General features: G+C 39.5%; 1 protein-coding gene across 15 annotated transcripts in view; it reads left to right on the top strand.

Moving 5' to 3' along the window:
- Positions 1–15,420, top strand: part of SHROOM4 (shroom family member 4) — a 238,661-nt gene that overhangs the window by 197,320 nt on the left and 25,921 nt on the right. For 14 of the 15 annotated variants that reach the window (XR_007068197.1, XR_007068196.1, XR_001755718.3 and 11 more), the window contains 2 exons: positions 8,691–9,494; positions 14,062–14,242. Coding sequence is in view for 6 of the 15 variants with exons in the window: in XM_047442279.1 (XP_047298235.1) it covers positions 8,691–9,494; positions 14,062–14,242 (985 nt within the window). In the remaining 9 variants the exon portion in view is untranslated. The remainder of the gene's footprint in view (positions 1–8,690; positions 9,495–14,061; positions 14,243–15,420) is intronic. The other variant, XM_017029685.3, reaches the window with a different exon arrangement.

Here is a 15,420-nt window from a genome sequence, read left to right as displayed (position 1 = left end):
GGTGAGGGATGGGGGACAGAATGTATAGTTTGGAAACCAACCTAATTGGAACAAATAACTGCCCCCAAACCATAGCACTCCCAACCCTTTTACTCTGAACCTTTGTTTCCATGATATGGTCCCTGAACCACCTGTGTTAGAATCCTTTAGGTGAATTGCTTAAAATGCTGATTCCTGGATCCCACCACAGAGGTATGAAACCCAATTTCTAGGGTTGGGGCCTATGAATTTGCATTTTAAACAACTTCCTGGGTAATTCTAATGAGGAGCCACTTTGATTATGAGCTGTTTTCCCAGACTAGTGGTTTCCAATGAAAGTTGGATCATGTACCCTTCTCAGAAAGAATTTTTTAAGCATGTACCCTCAACATATGTTGGCAATATATTTATTAATTTCTTATATGTGCTAATGTCCTCATATTTATGCTTTGAAATGCAAGAAATAGAAAAAAATAAATATAAAAGAAGTTCTGTGAACACAACTACCCTAGACTAAAAAATAAATGACCAGTCAAAAAAAAAGGGTAGGTGGTTGAAATCCAGTTTCAGGGAGAAGGAAAAAAGAATGGTAAAAGCCCAGTAGAGTGGAGAGTTGACCTTATTTTTCTACAAACCCAGAACTCCTCCAGAATGAAGAAAAAGGGAACTGACCATAAAGGTTTCAAGGTAAATATCAGTAACCCATTAATCGTTAATCTTTGGATACCAAAAACTGAAAAAATGATTGGACAAGGCTGAAGGGCGTTGGCCAGGCACCCAGTTGAAGTAGGAAGCAGCATTTTATGAGAGCACCTACATGAGACAAGCACCTCATCTTTTGAGATGTGTAGCTAAGGACGGCATTGACAAGGCACCAGCTTTGATCAAAGCAGCAAAGCTCCATGCAGCTCATGAACTCCGGTGCTCTTTGAGCACTGTAGGGTAAATCAGCCCAGTAATAGAATTAGGAAGCTTGATAAGGTTGAGCAAAGCAAATAATTTCCATTAGCTTGCGCTACCCCAAATAAATACGCAATTTAGGTAAAAACAACAGACTTGCTATGCAAACACAGCCTCGAGATAAATCCCAGGCCACTCCCCCTCCCCCCACCACACACAAACCCCAATCAGATTCTGGAGCAATTGGACAGCTGCTGACTGCTTTACCTGCTACTCATTGTTCCCATTGCCTGGCAACCTGGGCTACGAGGTTACAGTAAAAAAGATCTAACTTTTCTTCTTTTCCATAGTCACACAAACCTGCATTTATTTCACATTGAAGAAATATGTACTGAGCACCCACTGTGTGCCGGGCACTGTGCTGGATACTAGTGATACAGTGGTGAACTTGACATGTGCCTTCACCCTCAATATGGTTATGTGGAAGGGGCAGACAACTAAGCAGTAGTGTGCTAGGAAAATTAATGGGTGCTGTTAGAGGACAGTCTGGGCACCTATCCCATGCTTTGGGGGAATCAGGGAAGGCTTCCTCAAGGAAATGATATCTCAGTGGAATTCTAAAAGTAAGTCAGATAAAGAGGCGGAAAGAGAAGATAAAGAGCAAACAGCATGTAAAGGCAAAAAGAAGTGTGGGAGGATAGGAAAGGCAGAATTTTAAGAAACCTAACAAATCCTAGTAAGGGTCTGTATTTTATGAATAATGTAGGCTTCAAGCAGAAAAATGTATAACAAAATCAGATTTATGCTTTATTTTTCTGTTTACTAATTTTTAATTGAAAAAAGTAATAAATGCATTTAGTGTATACACACACACACACACACACACACACACACACAATAAGAGAATCTCACCCCAAACCATCAGTACAACTCTTTACAAGAGACATTACTGGCAATTTGTTGTGTATCCTTCCAGAAAAGTAACGTGTGTGCATGTATATACATTCTTTTTTACAAAAATGGGAACATATTGCATATCTTTTCTATTGTACATCCTGCTTTTTTATTTTAGTGATTATTCTATGTTACACATAGCTCTATTGCATCACCTTTAACGCTACATAGTGTTCCATATATAGATATTCCCTATTTTATTTAGTCCCTATTGAAGGACATTTAGATGGTTTCCAGTCTTTTGTGATTACATACAAATCTACAGTGAATATCCTTATGGATATCTCTTTGTGTTCATGTTGGAATGTGTCTGTAGGATAAATCCCTAGAAGTTGAACTACTGGGTCAAAGGATATGCACATTTTACCTTCTTTGCCTTCCAAATTGCCCTCCCTAGGAGTTATGCTAATTTCAACTCCCACCAACAGTGTGTAAGATCACCTGTTTCCTTATACCCTCATTAATTCTTTAACTTTTTTTATTTAAAAAGTGTCATTATTGTTTGGATTTGCATTTTTTAAATTTTAAGTGAGGTCGAACACCTTTTGGTAAATTGATAAGTCATTTTCTGTGAACTATACCTTTTTCTCCCTATGGAGTTGTTGGTCCCTTTTATTGATTGGTAAGCATACTTCACATATTAAGGATATTTACTCTTAGTTGTATATGTTACAAATATTTTTCCCAGTATATCTTCACCTTTAGACTTTATGGTGTTTTTTCTGGACATAATTTTTTAAGTTTTAAGAAGTCAAATTTATAAACTTTCCCTTATTACTTTTATGTTTTGTGTCTTACTTAAAAAGAACTTATCCTGCCAAGATTATTTTATATTTTTAAAAATGTTTTCTTCTAGTACCTTTATGGTATTTTTTTGACAATTGAGTCTTGATACATCTAAACTTTATTTCGTTGTAAAAAGTGATAGGATGATTCAGCTTTATTTTTGTCTCAATGGCTATCCAGTTCTAAAACTACGTATTGAATGATTCATCCTTCCCCCACTATTTGAAATGCTTCATCACAAACTAACTTCCCCTATGCATTTGAGTTGACTTCAGTGTTCTAGTGTTCTCTGTTTTATTCCATGGATCTACCTTTCTATTTGTGAGACTGCCTTATTTACTGCTAACTTTAGAAATTATTTCAATAATTGGTAGGGCTGGTCTTCCCTCTTTCATCTCTCTTTTTCCATACCGTTCATAATAATTCTTACGATTTTAATTTTCCCATATGAAATTTACAATAATGTTCCAAAATGCAGTCTGTTGACACTTTTATTGAGTTTCTATTAAGTTTATAGATTCACTTGGAGTTGACATCTTAACAATGTTGAGTCATCGTTGCTAGGAAATTGTGAGTCCTTTCATTTATGTGCATCTAGTTTTATGTTTCTCAATAGAGTTTTAAAGTTTTTGCGTATAGATCCTGCATATATCTTGTTAGGTTTATTTCTAGGCATCTTACCTTTATAATTGCTGCAGTAAATGTGATCTTTCCCTCCATTATATATTCTAACTAATTGTTGCATCTATGTAGAAAAGATGATTTCCATATATGAATTTTATACCCTGACACCTTACTGAATTTTCCTGTTGTTGGTATTATTTTTAAATTGTTTATGATGAGGCTGCGCACAGTGGCACATGCCTGTAATCTTAGCACTTTGCGAGGCCGAAGTGGGTGGATTGCTTAAGGCCAGGAGTTTGAGACCAGCCTGGGCAACATGGCAAAACCCTGTCTCTACTAAAAATACAAAAATTAGCCGGGTATGGTGGTGCATGCCTATAGTCCTAGCTACTTGGGAGGCTGAGGCACGAGTGTCGCTTGAACCTGGGAGGCAGAGGTTGCAGTGAGCGGAGATCATGCACTCCAGCCTAGGTGACAGAGCTGGACTCTGTCTCAAAAAAAAAGTTTCTGATGAATTTTCCAGATAAATAATCGTATCATCTATACATAATGAGAAGATATCCCCTTCTTCCAATGTTTACATCTTTATTTTGTTAAATTGCACTATTGCTTTCAGAACAATATTAAATATTAGTGGGGAAAGTGGGCACCTTTGCCTTGTTCTTGTTTTTAATGGGTATACCTCTAGTGTTTTGCCATTAAGCACAATATTGGCTTTTGACTTTAAAACAAAAGTCTGATGATAATGATGGTATTATGGAAATAGACATCTTTTTCTGTTAGGTTTTTTTTTTATCTGGAAGTGATGTTGAATTGTTATCAAATACATTTTAGCATTAGGGAAATTGTTATGTGCCTTTTATCCTTTGATTTATTAATGTTGTCAATTATATCAGTAGATTTTCTATTACTGAACCAGTCTTACATTTCTAGGATGAACCCCACTTGATCATGGTGTATCATATTTCTTAACATCCTCTTAGATTCTGTTTGCTAATATTTTATTTAAGATTTTTGCATCTGTATTCTCAGATGAGATGGGTCTCTAGTTTGCTTTTTCTGTTCTGTTTGCTGGGTTTTAGTATCAATGTAATGCAGGAATCTTTTCTTCTCTCTCTATTCTCTAGATTTCCAGATTCTAGAAAATGTAAATAACATTGGTTTGATTTTTTTTCCTTGAAGGTTGGTAGAATTAACACAAGACTATGTGATTGTGCTATTTTTGGTCAAATTTATACTTTTTTTTCCTATGGTAACTGGTGGGTTTATATATTCTCATTCTTCTGAAATCAGTTTTGGTAATATTTGTTTTCACAGAAAAATACTTTAAGTTTTCAAATTTGTTTTATGGGGTAGAGCAAAGTATTCTCTTATTCTTTTCATTTACTCTGTAACTGTGGTTATTTCTCAATTTCTAATTTTGTGCATTTGGGTGTTTTTTTTTTAATTAGATTAGCAAGTGGTTAATCTGTTTCATTGTTTTTTATTTTCTTTTCAGGAATTGGTTTTGCCTTTAATTATTCTATCACTTGTTCTCTAGTATATTAATTTCTGCCGTTAGTTTTATTGTCTTTCTGCTTTGTTTTAGGTTTATTTTTATGATTCTTTTCTTCTTTTGTTGAATGCTTAATTCATTTATTTTAATTCATTCTTACATACTAATATAAGTATTTAAGGCTACAAGTTTTTCTTTTTCTTTTTCTTGAGACAGAGTCTCACCCTGTCAACCTGGCTGGAGCTCTGGAGTGCATTGGCGCGATCTCAGTTCACTGCAGCCTCCGCCTCCTAGGTTCAAGCAATTCCCCTGCCTCAGCCTCCCGAGTAGCTGGGATTACAAGCGCACGCCACTACATCTGGCTAATTTTTCTATTCTTAGTAGAGACAGGGTTTTACCATGTTGGACAGCCTCGTCTGGAACTCCTGGCCTCAAGTGATCCGCCCGCCTCGGCCTCCCAAAGTGCTGTGATTACAGGAGTGAGCTGCCACGCCCAGCCTACAAGTTTTTCTTTAACTACTGCTTTAGTCAACCATATCCTCTAGCTTCTGATATTTTCATTGTTTGTTGTCATTTTCTAGATATTCAACAATTTCAAATTAGATTTTCTCTTCGACTAAAGTGGAAGAATTTTTTTCCCGTTTATTTTCTACATGCTAAAGATTTTTATTTTCATTTTGTTATTAATTTCTAGTGTTACCGTATTGTCATTAGAAAATATGGTCTGGGGAGGCCGAGGCGGGCGGATCACGAGGTCAGGAGATCGAGACCATCCTGGCTAACACGGTGAAACCCCGTCTCTACTAAAAATACAAAAAAAATTAGCCGGGCGCGGTAGCGGGCGCCTGTAGTCCCAGCTACTGGGGAGGCTGAGGCAGGAGAATGGCGTGAACCCGGGAGGCGGAGCTTGCAGTGAGCTAAGAAAGCGCCACTGCAGTCCGGCCTGGGCGAAAGAGCGAGACTCCGTCTCAAAAAAAAAAAAAAAAAAAAAAGAAAAAAAGAAAATATGGTCTGTACTACTAGTGTTACCGTATTGTCATGAGAAAATATGGTCTGTACTACTTCCATTTTCTGGCTCAGTATATAGCCAATTAAAAATATACTCAATGGGCCCTTGATTAAAAAAATACAGTCTGTTTCAGTATATGAAGAAATTTAGATTTTCTCATTATCTTAGTTTTTGACTGTCATGATCTGTCATCAGCTGAAACAGTCTCATATTTTGTTTCTACTTTTTTTCTACCTTTGCATTTGCTATAGATTTTGCTTTAAGAATTTTTATGCTATGTTTTTTGGTGCATAAAAGATCAGAGGAGGTAGACCATCATGTGTTCTAGTTGTTAACATTATAGTGCCCTTCTTTGTCTTATTTATTGCATTTTGCCTTTAATTCAACTTATGTATGAAATGAGTATCATAATTTATTTTTTCTTTAATTTTGACCTTAATTCCTTTGTTAAACATATTTATTGAACACTTACTGTGTGCCAGGCACTAGAAACCTATGAATGAGACAGACAAGATCCTGCCCTCATGGAGCTTACATTTTAGTTAGAGATTGGAGCAGAAAATAATCAAGTAAAAATAGATATGTGATATGATATCAGGTGGGGATGAAGATGAATACTCAAAGAATGAAGTAGAATAAGGATAATTAAATGTAAGTTGTCTCTATTTTTGATAAAGTAGTCAGGAAAGGCTTCTCTGCCTGGTACACGTTTGTCATTTTTTTACTTTCCACTTGTCCATCACTGTGTGTGTGTGTGTGTGTGTGTGTGTGTGTGAGAGAGAGAGAGAGAGAGAATATGCCAGGTGGAACAGTTTGCACAAAAGGGATTGTTATAATCTTAATGATCTATAAGTGTGCAAAGGCCCAAATGAGAAGATAGTGGGTATGTCTGGATATGAATTTCTGATCCACATGAGTGGTGAGCTGACCAGAATGGGGGAGGGATAAGAGGAGAATTAAGGACATTTTGTCTTCCATTCTGTCTGAATTTGGCTATTATTATGTGTATTATTATTTTTTAAAGAACTATTTCCAATCTTCATCATGATTATTGAATGGATATTCTGTATGATGATTTAATTGAACCCCTGGAATTTCCTGTCACTGGGCAGGACTTAGCATGATGCTGATTGCTCACAGGCTACAGCAGGAAACCAGATCTTGTGGTTTAGAGGGCTTAACTCTTTATACTCTGAGGCTAAAGAGATGTCTTTTAACTTTAGTCAGTGTTTATTATACAGAAGTTTGAATTTTTATGTAAATTCAAATAAACCTGGACTTATTTGGAGGTTTTCTTCTATTGCTTATGAGAATCTTATTTCACCTCACAATGATAGTCTTTTTAATTTTCTGATAGGTTTTTCTTATGTTATATATGTGCATAATATATACACATATATATACACATATAACATATATAATATATTAAAATTATACACACACACACACACACACACACACATATCCATGACTCTTGATCTGGAATTTATTTTGGTATATAATATATGATGTAGCTCCAAAAAGCACTGCTTTGCAGTTATCTCAAAAAGATTTATTAAATAATATTTCTTTATCTCCTTTTTGGGGGAAGATTATGTATATGATGTTTTTATAGGTAGTCTGCTTTGTTTCTGAACTTTCTATTCTGTTTTGTTGATCAATAACACAGTTTCAATTACAATTATTTTATAATATACTTTATCCCTTACTTACCCCCTTCCCCATTTCTTCTGTAGCAGAATACTCTTTAATATTATATCCTGCTTTTATTACAAGTTAATTTTCTAAAAATTCTGTAGTTAAATGTAGTTTAAAAATTCCTATTGAGAATTCTGATTGGAATTGCATTAGGATATTTTTTTTTTTGAGACAAGGTCTTACTCTGTCACCCCAGCTGGAGTACAGTGGTGCAATGATGGCTCACTGTAGCCTCGACCTCCCAGTCTCAAGCTGTCTTCCCATCTCAGCCTCCCATGTAGCTGGGACTAAAGGCACGCACCATCATGCACAGCTAATTAAAAAAAAAATTTAGAGACAGGGTCTTGCTATGTTGCCTAGGCTAGTCTTGAACTCCTGGACACAAGTGATCTACACACCTCAGCCTCTCAAAGTGCTGGGATTACAGGCATAAGCCACTGTGTCTGGCCAGAAGGAGATATTTTAAATCCAAAATAGCAGATAACTATGAATGACCTGTGTGGTGTTTTTTGTTACAAGTATAAAAACACAGAAAGTATATATATCTAATTCATAATACAGGTTGCATCTAGAGAGGCAATAGGGGAATGGAAGTGGAGAGTTATGTGAAGGGTATTATTTCTTAAGAAACAGTCATAAAACATAAATGGCAAAGTATTCAAACTTACTAAGTCTGGGTGATAGGTAGGAACATGGGTATTATGGCAATCAATCTCTGTACATTTCTAAATATTCAACATTTTTATAATGAAAAACAAACAAAAACAACAGATGAGGCAGGATAACCAGGCTTGTAAGCCCCAGAAAACAGCACATGCAATCTGACTCCTATAAACAGACTGGGGTAGTATGTGTATATCCAGACTTTGGAGCTAAACTGTTCAAGTTCAAATCCTAGCTCTACCACATACTAGCTTTATGACCCCAGGCAAGTTACTTAAATGCTCTATGCCTCAGTTTCCCCAACTGTAAAATCAGTGCAATAGTAATAGCTACCTCCTGGGGTTATTGTGAGGATTAGATAAGTGAAGACATGGAAACCACTTAAACAGTGCCTAGTATTTAGTGTGTGCTCAGTAAGTGTTAGCTATCATTATTATAATATTATTATTACTATTATTACATTTACTACACATACTACATTGTTTTGTGGACATTTTAAATTTTATATAAATGTTGTCATCCAAAATATGGGCCTATCTGCAACTTGCTTGTTTTTCTCAGTACTCATCTGATGTTTTGCAGGGAAATGGCTCATTCCAAGACTAGCTTTTCATGGGCAACCCCTTTCCATCCTTGCCTTGAGAACCCAGCACTGGACTTGTCAAGCTACCGAGCAATTTCTTCTCTTGACCTCCTTGGAGACTTCAAACATGCTTTGAAAAAATCAGAGGAAACTTCAGTTTATGAGGAGGGGAGCTCCCTTGCCTCCATGCCCCACCCACTGCGCAGCCGTGCCTTCTCAGAGAGTCACATCAGCTTGGCGCCCCAAAGCACCCGGGCCTGGGGGCAGCATAGGAGGGAGCTCTTTAGCAAAGGTGATGAGACCCAGTCGGATCTTCTCGGAGCCAGGAAGAAGGCCTTTCCTCCTCCTCGCCCTCCTCCTCCCAACTGGGAGAAGTACAGGCTCTTTCGTGCAGCCCAGCAGCAGAAGCAGCAACAGCAGCAGCAGAAGCAACAGGAGGAGGAGGAGGAGGAGGAAGAAGAAGAAGAAGAGGAAGAGGAAGAGGAGGAGGAGGAGGCAGAGGAGGAGGAAGAGGAGCTGCCACCCCAGTATTTCAGTTCAGAAACCTCTGGTTCCTGTGCTCTCAATCCTGAGGAGGTCCTAGAGCAGCCACAACCCCTCAGCTTTGGCCACCTGGAGGGCTCGAGACAGGGTTCACAAAGTGTCCCAGCAGAGCAAGAATCCTTTGCACTCCATTCCAGTGATTTCTTGCCTCCAATAAGGGGTCACTTGGGATCTCAACCTGAGCAGGCTCAGCCCCCTTGCTACTATGGCATTGGTGGGCTTTGGAGGACATCGGGACAGGAAGCCACTGAATCCGCCAAGTAAGTACATATGAAAGATACTAGGTCTCTGAAGAGGCAGGCAGCACAAGTTTGAATTTTACCTCCACTATTTACTAACTGGATGACCTCAGGCTGGCCAGTTAAACTGCTCCCAGCCTCAGTTTTCTTACCTGGAAAATGGGTATAATGATACTTGCTTCACATGATTGTTATGAATATTAAGATAATCTACATAAAGGATATAGCTCCATGCTTAGCACATAGTACATGCTCAGTAAATATCATGTTCTTATCCCTAAATATCTTTATTAAAGTACTATACTTTTCCTTAGTGTGTCTTCATGGTATCCATCAATTTCTGGCCCCTGATCCCAAAGGCATTGAACACTTGTTGCCTATACTAGGTCTTTCCCAGAAACCTGGCTCAGGCACTTTTCCTGCCTTCTCTTCTGCTTGCCCTCCAGAATAAGAGGCCAGCTCACAACCTGACCTGCCTCTGCTCTAGGACAAGTAGCCTGGGCTTCTAAACTCGTCCCCCCACAACCACCAGCATCAAAGGTATTCCTGGGGCTGGGTGCTTCATGCCTTGATAATTCCTTACAATAGATAAGGACATTCTTTTTCTCTTCCACTTTCTCCCCCTCCTTGTTTACCTGCCTCTTTGCATTCATGTGGGTGTGTAATAGGTGGTAGTTGACAGGGTGAGCTGCCTGGGCAGGGAGGCCAAAGCAAGAGTGTGTTCTGGCAGCAGGACTGCCAGTGTTTGTTCACTCCACTGAGCCAGTTGTCATCTGCATGCCCTATAGTGCATGGTTGGGTTTTTTTTTTTAATTTCTTTTGCTCCAAAGCAAAAGCCCCAGGACCATCATTGCTATTATTGCTCAGTGCTCTGGCTGTCAGCAGCTCCACCTGCTCTCCTGTGGAGAGCTCAGCCCACTCTCTGCTGGGGCTGAGGTTCGGGAGGCAGGTGGCTTATAAGTGCTTTCCTTAACTCTCTTTATAGCAGGAATTTGCCTGAGACTTGTTGCGGTTAGAAGTACCTTGTTATCATGTCTTTTATTGTCAGACAAATCTGTGACTTGTCTATGTGGAGCTAGTTGATCAGTTTTCCAGCCCAAGATGCCATAAGCACAGCATTTACAGGGCCTGGCTCCCAGGCACTGTTAAGAATCCTTCATGAGGGGGGGAGGGGGGAGGGATAGCATTGGGAGACATACCTAATGCTAGATGATGAGTTAGTGGGTGCAGCGCACCAGCATGGCACATGTATACATATGTAACTAACCTGCACAATGTGCACATGTACCCTAAAATTTAAAGTATAATTAAAAAAAAAAAAAAGAATCCTTCATTAGATCCCATGTGGCTGCTTCTCAAGCTGTTCTTCTACCTGGGGAGCATTCTCATTGTAATTAGAAAACATTTTGTGAAAAATACCTGTGATTGTTATCTATCATAGCAGGGAAAAGGGAAAATGACCTCCCAATAGTAGGCACTTAACAAATATTTAAGAAGAAAGAACAAATAAATGAATGGATGAACATTTATTAAGTATTTCTTATATACCAGACACTGCCAGACATTATGTATCTATTTCATTTAATCCTCCCAATAGCCCTATTAGCCATTATTATCCCCATTTGACAGATGAGGAAACTAACTAATTCCAAGTTACACAGCAAACATTCAAAGCCAGAGCTGTCTGACTCCAAAGCCCATGCTTATTTTGCCTTCCTAGGCAGCCTCTCCCAGAGAGATCTTGTTCTTTCCATAGGCCAGGAGTCACAGGGTCCTCTTCTCTCCTGTAGGGCAAGGTGTACCAGAGGCAGCAGTTACAAGCCCTGGTTCTTCCTTCTTTGTGTAGCTCCCTTTGCCTTGGCACCTTGGCCAGACAGAAAGAAATCACTATTACTAGAGATCTTGTAACTTGCTCCAGAGATTTATTTTTAATGACTCTAGGATGTAAGGGAAAACATTTGTTTGCACACAGCTCTGCTTGTGACTACAAAATCAATTAGATGCTCCTTTGAGTGATGGAGATTTAAGGAACAGCATCATTCCCAAAATAGCTAATTTTTTTGATTGCTTACTATGTGCCCTGCATTGTTCTAAGCACTTTGGGTAATGATTGATTTAATCATGAAAATAAACCTATGAAATAGTTACCATTCATCTTCTCCATTTCTTAGATGAAAAAAGCAAGGCCCAGGGAGATAAAGTAACTTTATCACAAGATCTCAGGTAGCTCACTATGCTTGCTATATCATCCCACGATCTCTGGGCTCTTGAAGAAGATTCTATTCCAGACCCTAGGAGAGGACAGTGTCCTAGCCAGAAGGAAGCAGCTTTAAGATTTTGTAAGGGACATATAGATGCATAATATTTTGAATCTAAAATGCAAACAAAGATATCCTAATTTCAGCCAAGTTAAACTCTAGTACCTTTATAACCTACATACTGTTCTGTTAAAAAATGCTGGGATACACACAGAAGCCAGCTAGTGGAATAATTAAGTATTATTTAAGTCTAATAACTGATTCAGGTATAGGTATAGCTTGCTTTATGGACTCTATGCATTTCCTCTCAGTGCTCTGTGAAAGGAATCTGCTTTTTGCTTTGATGTTTACTACATAGACCACCTATAATCACTTCCCTATTAATGGAGGTGATAAGGAAAGGATCCCTAGAATATAGTGCCTAATGTGATATACTATAATATGATGCAGGGATGTGTATGCTGGGGAACTGAGTCTCCAATTAGCACATCCTTTTTTTCCTTTATAACACCTTCTGACACAGAACTTTCACACATACCCTAAATATTTTTCTTGTAGATAGGAATTCCCTAAGTTCAGACCTTCATATTCCCTCCAGAATATTCTCCATTATCTGCTAACATAGATATACTCCAGCCAGAAAATTCCTTACATGTAGGCTTTTATATGATCTCAAGTTGTCCCTTTGGCAGTATAGCATAGCGGCTTGAAGCACAGATTCTAGAGTCAGGTTGTCCAGGTGCAAATTGCAGGTCTGTCATTTAATGTCTGGTGACCTTGAGGAAGTCACTGTACCTCATGTTGCCTCATGTTCCTTATCTGTATAATGGTTTTCATGAGCATTCAATTATATATGTATATACCTATGTGTGCATGTATCTATCTTAGGATGGTTTCTGGGGCATGGTAAGTATGGTGTGCATGTTAGCTAGTATTGTTCTTTTATCAGTGTTACAAGCTTGAAACTTACATATAAATGAATTTACCTAGGATAAAAAATATTGGCGGGCCCAACTTTCTTTTGTGTGATGAATTAGGAGACAGCATAGCATGAATCAGTAAATAGCTGTGGAGCCTTTTAACCATTATTTTTGACCTTTAAGAACTGCAAATAGCTGCAAAAATGACTAATGAGTTTCTCCTATTTTCCCTTTCAAACAGCTAGAGGTTAGCGAAGGGGTAGTGACACAGACAGGTGGAGGATGGGAGTGGCTAGCAGGCAATGAGAATATAGTGAGGGCGGGCCACCCCCTAGCATAAACCACGGGCAAAATTATTTGCCCCTCCATCGCTGAGACCTAACATTGTAGCATTTCTCTCTACTTCCTTCCTCACACCAGACTGGAAGCTTTGATGGCAGAAGAGGCCAAACCCAAGCCAGCATGGAACCAGAACTACTTTTTTTCCTGAGAAGTTCTATTTCATGGGCTGGGGCTCTGAGAAGCAATGCCTCAGCCCCACAGGCTTTGGTGAACCCAAGACAACAGGGTCTGTTGCTATACTTGTCAAGCCCCTGGGTGCCACTGGTTCCATTTTTTTCCCCATTTCATTCTACAACCATGGAGGAGGCAGGAGCCATTGGGAATATGCCAGAAGTGGAGAGATGCTATCCCTTTTCAGGCTGAAGTCCTGCCCTACAGCAGGCAATGTCTGAAGAGTTCATGAGAGATGTGGTGGGCGGTGACAAGTCCCTGGCAGGGTGCTAACTGCAGCCTCCAACATGGTGACCACTGTTGAGGTCATGGGTGACCTCTTTGCTGTGGGAGATCTGCAGCAGAGGGTCCATTTCAAGTAGGAGTGGCATTGGAAAAGAAAAAAATGATGAGAGTGTCCAGGAAAGCCACAGGGTGCCTTTGTAAGCAAGAAGACTAGATAGAGCCAGGATGGGTTGAGATCCAGGGGTAGGTCTGAGGGAGGCCAACAGGCTTGGAGAACCAATAGATAAGGTCTCAGATACTTCTCTACCACCTAGCCCCTACTTTGGGATCCACATACTGGGGTCATGCACCAAAGGGATGATGATCAGAAGGCCTGCCAGGTTTTCTGGATTTTAATTGAGTGTTAATGACCAAACCAAATTATCTCGAAAGAAGTCTCCCTAGCCGATGAAGTCAGGGGCATGGAAATAGCCTTCTAAGTTCTTAAAACTTACCTTTACTTAACTCCAGTTTGCCTTCATGTGGCCTGTTTACATTTGAACAGTGCCTTCTCCATTTTTTTCAACTCCTTGGTGAAGCAGGGTTCCATTTTTCAGATGGAGAAATTAAGAAGCAGAAATGTCAGCAGCCTCTCAACAGAGGTGCTCAAATGGTCATTCTTTGTTTCCACAGACAAGAGTTTCAGCACTTTTCGCCTCCTTCAGGGGCCCCAGGAATCCCTACCTCTTACTCAGCTTATTACAATATTTCTGTGGCCAAGGCAGAGCTGCTGAACAAACTGAAAGACCAACCTGAGATGGCAGAGATTGGCCTAGGAGAGGAGGAAGTTGACCATGAACTGGCTCAAAAAAAGGTAAAGTTTTTTGATGTGTCCTAGAGATTTTCAGAATTTAGCTTGAATGTATCTGGAGGATGACCAGCCTTCTACACTCTCTAGAACATCTCGCATTCCCATATTTTCAGTATGGAAACCATACAGCCTCTCTGGATTTCTCACAGATCCAAGTCCTGTCTATTTTTGATCCAGTCAATAATAATAATAACAATCATAATCATCATTATTGTCTCTGTGATCCTTAGAACAACCCAACAAGGGCTGGGCACGGTGGCTCCCGCCTGTAATCCCAGCACTTTGGGAGGCCAAGGTGGGTGGATCACCTGAGGTCAGGAGTTTGAGAACAGCCTGGCCAACATGGTGAAACCCCGTCTCTACTAAAAATACAAAAATTAGCCAGGCGTGGTGGTGGGCACCTGTAATCTCAGCTGCTCGGGAGGCTGAGACAGGAGAATTGCTTGAACCCGGGAGGCGGAGGTTGCAGTGAGCCGAGATCGCGCCACTGCACTCCAGCCTGGGCAACCAAGAGTGAAACTCAGTCTCAAAAAAAAAAAAAAGAAGAAAAGAAAAGAACAGCCCAACAAGGCAGATATTACTATCCCTTTTTTACTAGTTGAAGGGACGAATTTGCCCAGGGATTACAGACTAAATGGTAGATCCAGCACTTGAAGTCAAGACTGTCTGAATTTCTACTGTACAGTACATGCTGTCTCTCTGAATTAAGCCAGCCTTGTAAGTAACTCACTACCCAGGGCACATCAGAGTTTCTGCCAGTGGGCTCCTCTAACCAATGGCAGTGCCATTGATTTTTATTCTTTGTGCAACTTTGTGGGAGACAGAAGAGACTAAGTAAAATAAGGACAACTTATAGGCTGGCAAACTTTAGTATTTATTTGCAAGGATAGTCAATTATGTCTTAAAAGTACAAAATAGTTAAGTGGAGATGATGATGTTGTTGTCGTTCCAAAGCTTTCCTTTCTTTGTCTAAGTACCACTAGTCTGGTTTTCTAATCCAATTCTTGGAATCACTTTCCCCTCCCTGCACTTACCTATTGTATTTCATAAGCAAATAGGGTTGTCATGGCAACCTCAAAGGCTCAATTTACCTTCTTTGTGGACATCTAAACTCAATGTAAATTGTTCTGCCCATATTTCTTTCAGGATATGACCCGTAGGAAGTTACAGGGCCATTTGCA

The sequence above is a fragment of the Homo sapiens genome, chromosome X (genome assembly GCF_000001405.40).
Source record: "Homo sapiens chromosome X, GRCh38.p14 Primary Assembly".
In the NCBI taxonomy this organism is placed as follows: Eukaryota; Metazoa; Chordata; class Mammalia; order Primates; family Hominidae; genus Homo; species Homo sapiens.
This window is presented reverse-complemented; position numbering and strand designations above follow the sequence as displayed.